The 15,979-nt window shown below is 42.1% G+C and overlaps 1 annotated feature.

The window, feature by feature from the left end:
• Positions 1,112–2,311: an enhancer, noted in NCBI's record as "MED14-independent group 3 enhancer chr5:9013731-9014930 (GRCh37/hg19 assembly coordinates)". NCBI's record gives its function as "activates an origin of replication core promoter dependent on BRD2, BRD4, P300/CBP and CDK7 cofactors, and independent of MED14, by STARR-seq in HCT116 cells {active_cell/tissue: HCT116}" and the evidence as "EXISTENCE:reporter gene assay evidence [ECO:0000049][PMID:35650434]".

The following is a 15,979-nucleotide window of genomic DNA, read 5'->3' as shown; positions in this document are numbered from 1 at the left end:
CCCTGCTCTCAGAAAATTCTCAATATAATTAGAAAAAATGAGACCCTAAGAATTAAACATAACAGAATGTGGTTAGAGTTATGCCACCACAGGAAGCCCGGGGCAGAGTGATGGGGTCACGCTGGAGCTGACAGTAATTTCCTGAACAGTTTGCTCTTTGAGATGGGGTTAGGTCTTTGGAATGTTTCACATTTTAATGGTTTAAGATAATTAAGATCACATATTCTGAAATGTTTTCTCCCACACTCTTGTGGTATGTATTCATTTTCTCTAAAACATTTAGCTTATTATTTTCTTTTTAAATTTTTTGAAGAGAAAAATTTTTAAAATTTCCACATGCCCTTGATAGTACTAACTATAATATATAATGATTGATTGATAGATAGATAGATTTAAATCTTTTAAAGCACACGTTATCTCTTAAGGAATGGAATCCTTGTAATAGCCCATGTGGGTTGCGAAGTAAGGCGTGACTGTCCTCTGTAAGAATGAAGATCACTTGGTGACATCTGTAAAGTCACACAGCAAAGTCAAGGCTGCTTAAGGCTAAATCAAAACTTTCCTATCACAGTCTGAACACCTGTTCCCTAAAGTGTTTAAAGTCATCTGAAGTCCTTTAAAATGTCAGCCTGAGGGAGAGAAAAAGGGAAGGAGAGGGGAATGGAGAGAATAAAACAGAGAGAGAGACACAGGTAGAGACACAGCGGTAGAGAGAGCCTGAAAGACAGATAGGTGGAGAATCAGTCTGCGCTCTGGTAATTAAGTAACTTCCTCAAGAGAAGAGAAAGTTCCTCAAGAGAAGAGAAAGTTGCCAAAAAGAAAGGGGCTCCGCTACAGCGCCCTGGGCACCTTTCCTTCCCAGCAATCCTTGAGGCTATCAGTATTTCTCTGTGTGATCCTGTGATGAAAGTCCTGTCCTTTATACCCTAAGCCTGAGGAGGCAAGGACAGCCTCTGTCTTTCTTTGATTGCCCTTCCTTGGGCCTGCTGAGAGCCCTATACCTAGAAGGTGCTCGGGAGATATTTGCTCAGTGGGCAAGGGACAGAGAGAAGGGCTCACCAGGTGTGCACACTTGCACAGGTAAGGACAGCAGCTTGAGGGGCTCCATTCTGAATCTATGAGCTGCTCACATTTGCCCAGTGGGCCCGGGGAATACACACTCACAAGTAAGTGTGCCAGCTGGAGAGGCTCAGTTATGGACTGGGTGCTTATGTCTCCCACAAATTCACGTGTTGAATTTTACCCCCAAGGTTATAGTATTAAGAGGTGAGACCTGGAAGGTGATTAGGTCAGGATGGTGCAGCCCTTATAGAAGATGCTCCAGGAGCTCTCTCTGCTCTCCATCATGGGAGGACACGGTGAGAGGATGGCCCTCCACAAGGCAGGAAATGAGCTCTCACCAGACACCATCTGCCAGGCGCTTCATTTTGGACTTCCCACTCTCCAGAACTGTGAGAATTAAGTGCTGTTTAAGTCATGGTATTTTGTTAAATCTATGTTTTTGTTGTTGTTGTTTTTATTCTTTGTGTTTTTTTTTTGAGATGCAGTCTCGCTCTGTCACCAGGCTGGAATGCAATGGCACGATCTCAGCTCACTGCAACCTCTGACTCCCTGATCCAGGTGATTCTCCTGCCTCAGCCTCCCACGTAGCTGGGATTACATGCACATGCCACTACGCCCAGCTAATTTTTGTATTTTTAGTAGAGACAGGGTTTCACCATGTTGGCCAGGATGGTCTCTAACTCATGACCTTGTGATCTGCCAGCCTCAGCCTCCCAAAGAAGTCTATGGTATTTTGTTATAGCAGTCTGGACTGACTAAGGCAGGCCTGATTCTGAATTTAGAGCAACATTTTTCATGAACTTCTAGTCATTTTGACTCAACTTCTGACACATACATTTTTTAGCCCATACTCATAGGGATAGGTCATTTTTAAAGTATCTGAAGCTTAATTCAGACAGCCTTTTGAAAGAAAAGAAATATAAAATGAACACTAAAAAAGTCCAGTAGAAATGTGGATTTTAGTTTTGGAAAAGAAATCACAACAAACTTCACTTTAAAAAATCTGATAGAAACTATATATCTAATAATTTCAAGGAATAACAATATTTGTGTTAACTGCCAGACATGTCTTTATTATGTTTCTTATTTGTGTATACTTTGACTTTTCTATCATATGATAGCCTTTTTTTATTGCCTGAATAGAAAATAATTGTTAATTAAGGTTGATTTATTTATATCAATTACAGCTTGTTATGTATAATCAGATGTAAATGTGTGTTTTTTATTTGTATCAATTACAGCTTGTTATGTATAATCACATGTAAATATTTGGTATTTTTGTCAAATTTTGGAACACTCCTATCAACTTTCATTCATGTATGAGCTAAGAGATTAGGATAATTAACTCCACAGACTAGCTTTACCGTTCACGTACTTCAGGGGCCATGCTCTGGAGGACAGCGCCTCTGATCTTGCCTCTTCACATCAGCACATTAATGACATGACACATGGACGTTGAGGACTCCCGTGCTACTGCAAGATGGCCCACAGAAACTTTACTGCACGTGGCAGTGTCTGCAAGCCACATGCATGCATTTCTCTAAACCTAAACTAAATCTATCCCAATCTCAGTTTCCCCTTAGAACCTCCCAGAGATGCCCATAGCCATTCCAACATCACCTACCTCCAGGGAATATGTGATATAAAGAAAGTTGGAGAAAGTTTTAACTGCAGCTAAAATCATTTAATTGATCACATTTTAGAAAACCACATGACCATGTGGGAATGAGAACTCCTGATGCTCCTGAGACTTTAATCTGAGGATACTCCATCTCTGTACTCCTAGGTGCAAGGTTCAGGCTGGATAATTGGATGCCAGTGTTGACTAAGGCAGCTGTGGATGATTCCCTTTCAAAGGACCTGGACATCCTATGGCAGAGAGGAGGTGTGGGCTGAGTTTTGCTAGTGTCTCTGTCCATTACTGTTTGGGTGATCTGGGGGCTGTTTGCATTTACTATGACTCAGTTTCTCATGTGTAAAATGGGGATAATAAGAACATCTTAGATTACAGGTTTATCTTGATGATTATTGAGTTAATCCATATGACACTAAGAAAAATGCTTGACTGCCTAGCAAGTGCTCAACAAATATAAGTCATTGTTATTATTGCTTTTATAAAATCTGAAAAATGATGTAAATAACCTTTAAATATATGATACTTTATTAAAACTCCTTGTGGCAATTGGGATGTTGAACATTCTTTTAAATCCCATAGCATTTGAATAAAGGAAATGTGATTTCAAACTGAGTAAATACCAGAACAGATATGTTTCCATAGCAGGGAAATGGAGAGTCAGGTTGGTCAGAAGTCTATTTTGGGGATTGATTAAGGGTTCCGTAAAACACAAGCAAGTTATGATTATCCATAACAGAAGTGCCATTGTGAAGACTGATTCTCCATTTAGATCCTTGGTTGCTCTGTTCTGTGGAGTACAGGAGTACATGGCAACTCCTTAGAGCAAAGTCGTTTCCTGGCTTCCCTGGAAGATGGAAGGAATTGTTCAAACACAAAATACTCTTTTAGCTCTTATGAAGAATGGCTTTCTGTACATTTAAGGTAACATTCTCATTACTAGATTGTATTGTTGAAAAAAAGACAGTGAGGTACTTCAATTTTTTCAAAAATTATGAAAAAAATGTATTTTCCTTGGTCAGTAGTCATGGTTGTTGTTTATCTTGGGCTCTCTGCTTTTGTGATCAGAGAAGGAAAGAGTTTGGCAGGTAGCTTTTTGCTTGTTATGGTAATAGTTTTTTTCTGGTATATTTTTCTTTTACCAAATGAGATAATGTTGGGAAACCATAAAAGGTAAAAAGAACAGAAATACAACCTCTGAACTTTCCTTCAGAAAATGGAGGGTAAGGTCGTTAACAGACCACACAAGCTACTCAAGAATGAGAAGAAAAATCTGCCAGCAAAAACGTATTTCATACCAGGATATGCTTTTTCCCATTTGATCATTGAGTTTGATTTTTCACTGATTAATATTTTTTCAAAAGTTTTACAGAAATTATAAATGGGAGAGTTTTTCAAATATACCAAACTTCAGATGGTGGGGATGGTAGGAGTTCCCAAAGCATTTTACTGGGTAGAGAGGCTACTAGTGTGAAATATATGAAAGAGTTAAGTCAGCTGGAACTGAAGGGCACAAGTTTTATTTGCAGTAAGATCCTAAAATGATTTGGTAATATTTTATTATTTTATTTTATTTTTTGAGAGGAGTCTCCCCCTATCGCCCAGGCTGGAGTGCAGTGGCGCGATCTCAGCTCACTGCAAGTTCCGCCTCTTGGGTTCACGCCATTCTCCTGCCTCAGCCTCCTGAGTAGCTGGACTACAGGCACCCGCCACCATGCCCGGCTAATTTTTTGTAGTTTTAGTAGAGACGGGGTTTCACCATGTTAGCCAGGATGGTCTCGATCTCCTGACCTCGTTATCCACCCGCCTCGGCCTCCCAAAGTGTGGGGATTACAGGCATGAGCCACCACGCCCGGCCTCATGATTTGGTATATTTTAATTGCACACAAAAACATAAATACAGAGCATCTTTTGCTGAATCTGGTGTTTGAAGGTAATGGAAAAATAATTTTTTTAGAAAACAAAGTAAATGTAAATGTGTTTTTACATATTGTGTTTCAGCCCAAAGGGAGAGCTACCAATAACAGAATCAAAAGTCTAGAAACTCATGACCAGCCAATACTGAAGTATTTGGAATGTTCTTGCATGGATTCCATTTTTCCCATAGGGTAGAGCCATGTCCACTGCCACCTTGGTGACCAGGGGTGGCACCAGTTTCCAGGCAGCAGAGCTGATTGCCAATCCAGCCTTGGCTGTCCAGTGGTGGGGCCTTAGTCAGATGACCAAAAGCCATGAGATGAGAATTTTTTTGAGAATGAGGGTGAGGATAGCCACCACACTGAATTGTGGAAGATCAGTCTAGGGATGTAGGTAAGACCCATGATCCTGGGCCTAGAAAGAGCCTCGCTGATTGTTTTGAAAGTGAAACAACTGGAACATTTTTGAAATAATTTAGTTTGTGTTTCTTCTTCCAATTATCTTGATTTGACAAGTGACCTCCATTATATGAAGACAAGAAGATATGACTGAATGAGAAGAGAAATAAGAAAAGAGAAGCATTTATTTGGGTATTTCTTAATAAATGCTGAACACACCTTGGCACAGGCATTTTTAAAGCCTAATAAAACGTTTAAAATGTCTATCATGCTGGCCCTCATTAATCCAGCCATTTTCCCATGTCATCTCTGCTTTTATAAAAAGGTTTTCAGAACCGCTCCCTACACATGCAGTGATTGTATTACTGTGTTCAAAGACATGGCTACGTGATGCCATTCTTCCATAAATTCAGAGTTTACTCATGCACATTCACATGTCATATCCAGCAGACATGCCAACATTCTCCGACCCAGTTCACCCTGAGGGAGTGGCAGGAGTTGGTTGGGGTGGAACAGATGTGCTCATGCAGCTGAGGGCACTAGCAAGGTCACCAAACTTAAATGAGTTTATTAATTACCAGTGAGCAGCCCCACTCTTTGCTGAGTGTTTTCAGGTGTGCAGGACTACTTGAGGATTCATGTGGTGTGGAAGATCGAAGTCTACTCTGTGCAACTTTGGGGAAATGATCAAGGAAAAGTATTCTCAAGGCTTTATTGTGAAGTGGCTATGCCCATCACGAGGGAAATGAAGAATAATTGGCCACTTGCCTGAAAACGCAGGAATGGAGCAAGTACTTACTGAAGGGCAGATGTTGAAAATCGGGGTTGTACATTTTATGCAAAGGAAAGAGTATTAGCCAATGAAAAGGTATGTAAATGCTTGTGGCATGTTGCAGTGGCTGGTAGTAAAGAGGTGAGTCTGATAGGAATGGAGCTTGTTTATGGGGAGAGAAGAGAAGAAAAGAAGGAAGTTAGCAAGATCAGGAGGAGCCCTACAATGAAAAGCTTTAGCTATCTTTCCAACAAAACAAAAAGAAAAAAACAAAAACAACTTTTATTCCTGAACAGTGATTTTGTTCAGTAGCACTTCTTTCTCTTGAAAACAAAACAAAACAAAACCAAAAAGTGAACCACAAATATGTAGAACAGTTAAAGGTTAAAGGTGGAGCTGGTATGGCTTTGGTGTGAGACAGGTGTGACTTTCTTTGCTATTATCCATGGCCCAGGGATTTAGATTCCCTAGCAATCTAAATCTGTAAATCACATTGTTGCCTCTGGAAGAATTGGCACCCTGGAAGCCATCACCGGGAAGCCATAGTCCATTCATAGACCCGATGCAATAACTACAGCACAACTGCGTGAAAAGGCAAGAACCACTCAACCCCTTCTCCTTCACCCTTAGTGGCAAGTCCCGCTTTTCTGGGGGAGGGGCAAGTACCCCAACCCCTTCTCTCCATGTCTCTACCCCTTCTCTGCTTTTCTGGGGGAGGGGCAAGAACCTCTCAACCCCTTCTCCTTCATCCTTAGTGGCAAGTCCCGCTTTTCTAGGGGGCAAGAACCCCAAATCCCTTATTTCTGCACCCCAACCTCTTATCTCTGCACCCCAATTCCTTATTTCCATGCCCTGCTTCACACGAACATGAGTGAAATTTGGTGCCATGACTTGGATCAGGGGACCTCCCTTGGGAGATCAATCCCCTGTACTCCTGCTTTTTGCTCTGTGAGAAAGATCCACCTATGACCTCAGGTCCTCAGACTGACCAGCCCAAGAAACATCTCACCAATTTCAAATCCAGTAAGTGGCCTCTTTTTACTCTCTTCTCCAACCTCCCTCACTATCCCTCAACCTCTTTCTCCTTTCAATCTTGGCACCACACTTCAATCTTTCCCTTCTCTTAATTTCAATTCCTTTCATTTTCTGGTAGAGACAAAGGAGACACGTTTTATCCGTGGACCCAAAACTCCGGTGCCAGTCACGGACTGGGAAGGCAGCATTCTCTTGGTGTTTAAAAATTGCAAGGACGCCTCTCTGATTATTCACCCACGTTTCAGAGGTGTCAGACCATGCAGGGAAGCCTGCCTTGGTCTTTCACCCTTAGTGGCAAGTCCCACTTTTCTGGGGGAGGGGCAAGTACCCCAACCCCTTCTCTCCATGTCTCTACCCCTTCTCTGCTTTTCTGGGGGAGGGGCAAGAACCCCTCAGCCCCTCCTCCTTCACCCTTAGCAGCAAGTCCCACTTTTCTAGGGGGCAAGAACCCCCAATCCCTTATTTCCATATCCCGACCTCTTATCTCTGTACCCCAATCCATTATTTCCACACCCCAACCTCTTATCTCTGAGCCCTGATCCCTTATTTCTGTGCCCCGACCTCTTATCTCTTTGCCCCATCCCTTATTTCCGTGCCCCAACATCTTATCTGTGTGCCCCAAACCCTTATTTCTACACCCTGACCCCTTTCCCACTTTTCTGGAGGGTAAGAACCCCCAAACCCCTTCCCTCCGTGTCTCTACTCTCTCTTTTCTCTGGGCTTGCTTCCTTCACTATGGGCAACCTTCCACCCTTCATTCCTCCTTCTTCTCCATTAGCCTGTGTTTTCAAGAACTTAAAACCTCTTCAACTCACACCTGACCTAAAACCTAAATGCCTTATTTTCTTCTGCAACACCACTTGGCCCCAATACAAACTGACAATGGCTCTAAGTGGCCAGAAAATGGCACTTTCAATTTCTCCATCCTATGAGACCTAAATAATTTTTGTTGAAAAATGGGCAAATGGTCTGAGGTGCCTTACGTCCAGGCATTTTTCACACTTCTTTCCTTCCCTAGTCTCTGTTCCCAATGTGATTCCTCCCAAATCCTTCTTTCCCTCCTGCCTGTCCCCTCAGTCCCAACCCCAAGTGTCGCTGAGTCTTTCCAGTCTTCCTTTTCTACAGACCCATCTGATCTTTCTCCTCCTCCTCAGGCTGCTCGTTGCCAGGCCAAGCTAAGTTCCAATTCTTCCTCAGCCTCCGCTCCTTCACCCTATAATCCTTCTACCACCTCCCCTCCTCACACCCAGTCTGGCTTACAGTTTCGTTCCGTGACTAGCCCTCCCCCACCTGCCCAGCAATTTACTCTTAAAAAGGTGGCTGGACACTGCTGCTGATACCCAGGCAAACGGGGTCTGGAGGAGACCTCCAGCAAACTCCAACAGACCTGCAGCTGAGGGTCCTGACTGTTAGAAGGAAAACTAACCAACAGAAAGGACATCCACACCAAAAACCCATCTGTACGTCACCATCATCAAAGACCAAAGGTAGATAAAACCACAAAGATGGGGGAAAAAACACAGCAGAAAAACCAGAAACTCTAAAAATCAGAGCGCCTCCCCTCCTCCAAAGGAACACAGCTCCTCACCAGCAATGGAACAAAGCTGGACGGAGAATGACTTTGATGAGTTGAGAGACAAAGGCTTCAGAAGATCAAACTACTTTGAGCTAAAGGAGGAAGTTCGAACCAATGGCAAAGAAGTTAAAAACCTTGAAAAAAAAATTAGACAAATGGCTAACTAGAATAACCAATGCAGAGAAGTCCTTAAAGGACCTGATGGACCTGAAAACCATGGCACGAGAACTACGTGATGAATGCACAAGCCTCAGCGGCCAATGAAATCAACTGGAAGAAAGGGTATCAGCGATGGAAGACGAAATGAATGAAATGAAGCGAGAAGACAAGTTTAGAGAAAAAAGAATAAAAAGAAATGAACAAAGCCTCCAAGAAATATGGGACTATGTGAAAAGACCAAATCTACATCTGATTGGTGTACCTGAAAGTGACGGGGAGAATGGAACCAAGTTGGAAAACACTCTGCAGGATATTATCCAGGAGAACTTCCCCAATCTAGCAAGGCTGTCCAACATTCAAATTCAGGAAATACAGAGAATACCACAAAGATACTCCTCGAGAAGAGCACCTCCAAGACACATAATTGTCAGATTCACAAAGTTGAAATGAAGGAAAAAATGTTAAGAGCAGCCAGAGAGAAAGGTAGGGTTACCCACAAAAGGATACCCATCAGACTAACGGCTGATCTCTCTGCAGAAACTCTACAAGCCAGAAGAGAGTGGGGGCCAATATTCAACATTCTTAAAGAAAAGAATCTTCAACCCAGAATTTCATATCCAGCCAAACTAAGCTTCATAAGTGAAGGAGAAATGAAATACTTTACAGACAAGCAAATGCTGAGAGATTTTGTCACCACCAGGCCTGCCCTAAAAGAGCTCCTGAAGGAAGTACTAAACATGGAAAGGAACAACCAGTACCAGCCACTGCAAAAACATGCCAAATTGTGAAGACCATCAAGCCTAGGAAGAAACTGCATCAACTAACGAGCAAAATAACCAGCTAATATCATAATGACAGGATCAAATTCACACATAACAATATTAACCTTAAATGTAAATGGGCAAAATGCTCCACTTAAAAGACACAGACTGGCAAATTGGATAAAGAGTCAAGACCCATCAGTGTGCTGTATTCAGGAAACCCATTTCACATGCAGAGACACACATAGGTTCAAAATAAAGGGATGGAGGAAGATCTATCAAGCAAATGGAAAACAAAAAAAGGCAGGGGTTGCAATCCTAGTGTCTGATAAAACAGACTTTAAACCAACAAAGATCAAAAGAGACCAAGAAGGCCATTACGTAATGGTAAAGGGATCAATTCAACAAGAAGAGCTAATTATCCTAAATATATATGCACCCAATACAGGAGCACCCAGATTCATAAAGCAAGTCCTGAGTGACCTACAAAGTGACTTAGACTCCCACACAATAATAATGGGAGACTTTAACACCCCACTGTCAACATTAGACAGATCAACGAGACAAAGTTAACAAGGATATCCAGGAATTGAACTCAGCTCTTCACCAAGCAGACCTAATAGACATCTATAGAACTCTCCACCCCAAATCAACAGAATATACATTCTTTTCAGCACCACACCACAGCTATTCCAAAATTGACCACATAGTTGGAAGTAAAGCTCTCCTCAGCAAATGTAAAAGAACAGAAATTATAACAAACTGTCTCTCAGACCACAGTGCAACCAAACTAGAACTCAGGATTAAGAAACTCACTCAAAACCTCTCAACTACATGGAAACTGAACAACCTGCTCCTGAATGACTACTGGGTACATAACGAAATGAAGGCAGAAATAAACATGTTCTTTGAAACCAACCAGAACAAAGACACAACATACCAGAACCTCTGGGACACATTCAAAGCAGTGTGTAGAGGGAAATTTATAGCACTAAATGCCCACAAGAGAAAGCAGGAAAGATCTAAAATTGACACCCTAACATCACATCATTAGGGATCTAATGACACCCTAGAGAAGCAAGAGCAAACACATTCAAAAGCTAGCAGAAGGCAAGAAATAACTGAGATCAGAGCAGAACTGAAGGAAATAGAGACACATAAAAAACTTCAAAAAATCAATGAATCCAGGAGCTGGTTTTTTGAAAAGATCAACAAAATTGATAGACCGCTAGCAAGACTAATAAAGAAGAAAAGAGAGAAGAATCAAATAGACGCAATAAAAAATGATAAAGGGGATATCACCACCGATCCCACAGAAATACAATCTACCATCAGAGAATACTATAAACACCTCTACGCAAATCAACTAGAAAATATAGAAGAAATGGATAAATTCCTTGACACATACACCCTCCCACGACGAAACCAGGAAGAAGTTGAATCTCTGAATAGACCAATAACAGGCTCTGAAATTGAGGCAATAATTAATAGTTTACCAACCAAAAAAAGTCCAGGACCAGATGGATTCACAGCTGAATTCTACCAGAGGTACAAGGAGGAGTTGGTACCATTCCTTCTGAAACTATTCCAATCAATAGAAAAAGAGGGAATCCTCCCTAACTCATTTTATGAGGCCAGTATCATCCTGATACCAAAGCCGGGCAGAGACACAACCAAAAAAGAGAATTTTAGACCAATATCCTTGATGAACATTGATGCAAAAATCCTCAATAAAATACTGGCAAACTGAATCCAGCAGCACATCAAAAAGCTTATCCACCATGATCAAGTGGGCTTCATCCCTGGGATGCAAGGCTGGTTCAACATATGAAAATCCATAAACATAATCCAGCATATAAACAGAATCAAAGACAAAAACCACATGATTATCTCAATAGATGCAGAAAAGGCCTTTGACAAAATTCAACAACCCTTCATGCTAAAAACTCTCAATAAATTAGGTATTGATTGGACGTATCTCAAAATAATAAGAGCTATCTATGACAAACCCACAGCCAATATCATGTTGAATGGACAAAAACTGGAAGCATTCCCTTTGAAAACTGGCACAAGACAGGGATGCCCTCTCTCACCACTCCTATTCAACACAGTGTTGGAAGTACTGGCCAGGACAATCAGGCAGGAGAAGGAAACAAAAGGCATTCGATTAGGAAAAGAGGAAGTCAAATTGTCCCTGTTTGCAGATGACATGATTGTATATCTAGACAACCCCATCATCTCAGCCCAAAATCTCCTGAAGCTGATAAGCAACTTCAGCAAAGTCTCAGGATACAAAATCAATGTGCAAAAATCACAAGCATTCTTATACACCAATAACAGACAAACAGAGAGCCAAATCATGAGTGAACTCGCATTCACAATTGCTTCAAAGAGAATCAAATACCTAGGAATCCAACTTGCAAGGGATGTGAAGGACCTCTTCAAGGAGAACTATAAACCACTGCTCAATGAAATAAAAGAGGATACAAACAAATGGAAGAACATTCCATGCTCATGGGTAGAAAGAATCAATATCGTGAAAATGGCCATACTGCCCAAGGTAATTTATAGATTCAATGCCATCCCCATCAAGCTACCAATGACTTTCTTCACAGAATTGGAAAAAACTACTTTAAAGTTCATATGGAACCAAAAAAGAGCCTGCATTGCCAAGTCAATCCTAAGCCAAAAGAACAAAGCTGGAGGCATCACGCTACCTGACTTCAAACTATACTACAAGGCTACAGTGACCAACACAACATGGTACTTGTACCAAAACACAGATATAGACCAACGGAACAGAACAGAGCCCTCAGAAATAATGCCTCGTATCTACAACTATCTGATCTTTGACAAACCTGACAAAAACAAGCAATGGGGAAAGGATTCCCTAATTAATAAATGGTACTGGGAAAACTGGCTAGCCATATGTAGAAAGCTGAAACTGGATCCCTTCCTTAAACCTTATGCAAAACTTAATTCAAGATGGATTAAAGACTTAAATGTTAGACCTAAAACCATAAAAACCCTAGAAGAAAACCTAGGCATTATCATTCAGGACATAGGCATGGGCAAGGACTTCATGTCTAAAACACCAAAAGCAATGGCAACAAAAGCCAAAATTGACAAATGGGATCTAATTAAACTAAAGAGCTTCTGCACAGTAAAAGAAACTACCATCAGAGTGAACAGGCAACCTACAACATGGGAGAAAATTTTTGCAACTTACTCATCTGACAAAGGGCTAATATCCAGAATCTACAAAGAACACAAATAAATTTACAGGAAAAAAACAAACAACCCCATCAAAAAGTGGGCAAAGGATATGAACAGACACTTCTCAAAAGAAGACATTTATGCAGCCAAAAAACACATGAAAAAATGCTCATCATCACTGGCCATCAGAGCATTGCAAATCAAAACCACAGTGAGATACCATCTCACACCAGTTAGAATGGCAATCATTAAAAAGTCAGGAAACCACAGGTGCTGGAGAGGATGTGGAGAAATAGGAACACTTTTACACTGTTGGTTGGATTGTAAACTAGTTCAACCATTGTGGAAGTCAGTGTGGCGATTCCTCAGGGATCTAGAACTGGAAATACCATTTGACCCAGCCATCCCATTACTGGGTATATAGCCAAAGGGTTATAAATCATGATGCTATAAAGACACATGCACACGTATGTTTACTGCGGCACTATTCACAATAGCAAAGACTTGGAACCAACCCAAATGTCCATCAATGATAGACTGGATTAAGAAAATATCACACATATACACCATGGATACTATGCAGCCATAAAAAATGATGAGTTCATGTCCTTTGTAGGGACATGGATGAAGGTGGAAACCATCATTCTCAGCAAACTATCACAAGGACAAAAACCAAACACCACATGTTCTCACTCATAGGTAGGAATTGAACAATGAGAACACATGGACACAGGAGGGGGAACATCACACACCGGGGACTGTTGTGGGGTTGGGGGAGGGGGGAGGGATAGCATTAGGAGATATACCTAATGCTAAATGACGAGTTAATGGGTGCAGCACACCAACATGGCACATGTATACATATGTAACAAACCTGCACGTTGTGCGCATGTACACTAAAACTTAAAGTATAATAATAATAATAATAAAAATGTGGCTGGAGCTAAAGGCATAGTCAAGGTTAATGTTCCTTTTTCTTTATCCCCAATCAGATAGCGTTTAGGTCTTTTTCATCAAATATAAAAATCCAGCCCAGTTCATGGCTCATTTGGCAGCAATCCTGAGACGCTTTACAGCCCTAGACCCTAAAAGGTCAAAAGGCCATCTTATTCTCAATACATATTTTATTACCCAATCTGCTCCTGACATTAAATCAAACTCCAAAAATTAAATTCCGGCCCTCAAACCCCACAACAGGACTTAATTAACCTCGCCTTCAAGGTGTACAATTATAGAGTAGAGGCAGCCAAGTTGCAACGTATTTCTGAGTTGCAATTCCTTGCCTCCACTGTGAGACAAACCCCAGCCACATATCCAGCACACAAGAACTTCCAAATGGCTAAATCACAGTGGCCAGGCATTCCTCCAGAACCGCCTCCCCCAGGAGCTTGCTGCAAGTGCCAGAAATCTGGCCACCAAGCCAAGGAATGCCCGCAGCCCGGGATTCCTCCTAAGCCGTGTCCCATCTGTGCAGGACCCCACTGGAAATCGGACTGTTCAACTCACCTGGAAGCCACTCCCAGAGCCCCTGGAACTCTGGCCCAAGGCTCTCTGACTGACTCTTTCTCAGATCTTCTCGGTTTAGTGGCTGAAGACTGATGCTGCCTGATCGCCTCGGAAGCCCTGTAGACCAACACGGACGCCGAGCTTTAGATAACTCTCACAGTGGAGGGTAAGTCCGTCCTCTTCTTAATCAATATGGAGGCTACCCAGTCCACATTACCTTCTTTTCAAGGGCCTGTTTCCCTTGCCTCCATAACTGCTGTGGGTATTGACAGCCAGGCTTCTAAACCTCTTAAAACTCCCCAACTCTGTGCCAACTTAGACAATACTCTTTTAAGCACTCCTTTTTAGTTATCCCCACCTGCCCAGTTCCCTTATTAGGCCGAGACACGTTAACTAAATTATCTGCTTCCCTGACTATTCCTGGACTACAGCTGCATCTCATTGCCACCCTTCTTCCCAATCCAAAGCCTCCTTTGTGTCCTCCTCTTGTATCCCCCCACCTTAACCCACAAGTATAAGACACCTCTACTCCCTCCTTGGTGACCGATCATGCACCCCTTACCATCTCATTAAAACCTAATCACCCTTACCCCGCTCAATGCCAAAATCCCATCCCACAGCATGCTTTGAAAGGATTAAAGCCTCTTATCACTGGCCTGCTACAGCATGGCCTTTTAAAGCCTATAATCTCTCCTTACAATTCCCCCATTTCACCTGTGCTAAAACCAGACAAGCCTTATAAGTTAGTTCAGGATCTATGCCTTATCAACCAAATTGTTTTGCCTATCCACCCCATGGTGCCAAACCCATATACTCTCCTATCCTCAATACCTCCCTCCACAATCCATTATTCTGTTCTTGATCTCAAACATGCTTTCTTTGCTATTCCTTTGCACCCTTCATCCCAGCCTCTCTTCACTTTCACTTGGACTGACCCTGACAACCATCAGGCTCAGCAAATTACCTGGGTTGTACTGCTGCAAAGCTTAACAGACAGACCCCATTACTTCAGTCAAGCCCAAATTTCTTCGTTATCTGTTACCTATCTCAGCATAATTCTCATAAAAACACACGTGCTCTCCCTGCTGATCATGTCTGACTAATCTCTCAAACCCCAACCCCTTCTACAAAACAACAACTTCTTTCCTTCCTGGGCATGGTTGGATACTTTTGCCTTTGGATACCTGGTTTTGCCATCCTAACAAAACCATTATATAAACTCACAAAAGGAAACCTAGCTGACCCCATAGATCCTAAATCCTTCCCCACTCCTCTTTCTGTTCCTTGAAGACAGCTTTAGAGACTGCCCCCACCCCAGCTCTCCCTGACTCATCCCAACCCTTTTCATTACACACAACCAAAGTGCAGGGCTGTGCAGTCAGAATACTTACACAAGGACTGGGATCACGTCCTGTAGCCTTTTTGTCCAAACAACTTGACCTTACTGTTTTAGGCTGGCCATCATGTCTCCATGCAGTGGCTACTGCCATCCTAATACTTTTAGAGGCCCTTAAAATCACAAACTATGCTCAACTCACTCTCTACAGCTCTCATAATTTCTAAAATCTGTTTTCTTCCTCACACCTGATGCATATACTTTCTGCTCCCTGGCTCCTTCAGCTGTACTCACTCTTTGTTGAGTGTCCCACAATTACCATTGTTCCTGGCCCGGACTTCAATCCAGCCTCCCACATTATTCCTGATACCACACCTGACCCTCATGACTGCATCTCTCTGATCCACCTGACGTTCACCCCATTTCCCTACATTTCCTCCTTCCCTGTTTCTCAACCTGATCACACTTGGTTTATTGATGACAGTTCCACCAGGCCTAATCACCACACACCAGCAAAGGCAGGCTATGCTATAGTACAAGCCACTAGCCTGCCTCTTAGAACCTCTCATTTCCTTTCCATCATGGAAATCTATCCTCAAGGAAATAAC

The sequence above is a fragment of the Homo sapiens genome, chromosome 5 (assembly GCF_000001405.40).
Source record: "Homo sapiens chromosome 5, GRCh38.p14 Primary Assembly".
NCBI lineage: Eukaryota > Metazoa > Chordata > Mammalia > Primates > Hominidae > Homo > Homo sapiens.
Note: the sequence above shows the minus strand (reverse complement) of the source record. Positions and strands in the feature narration are given on the sequence as shown.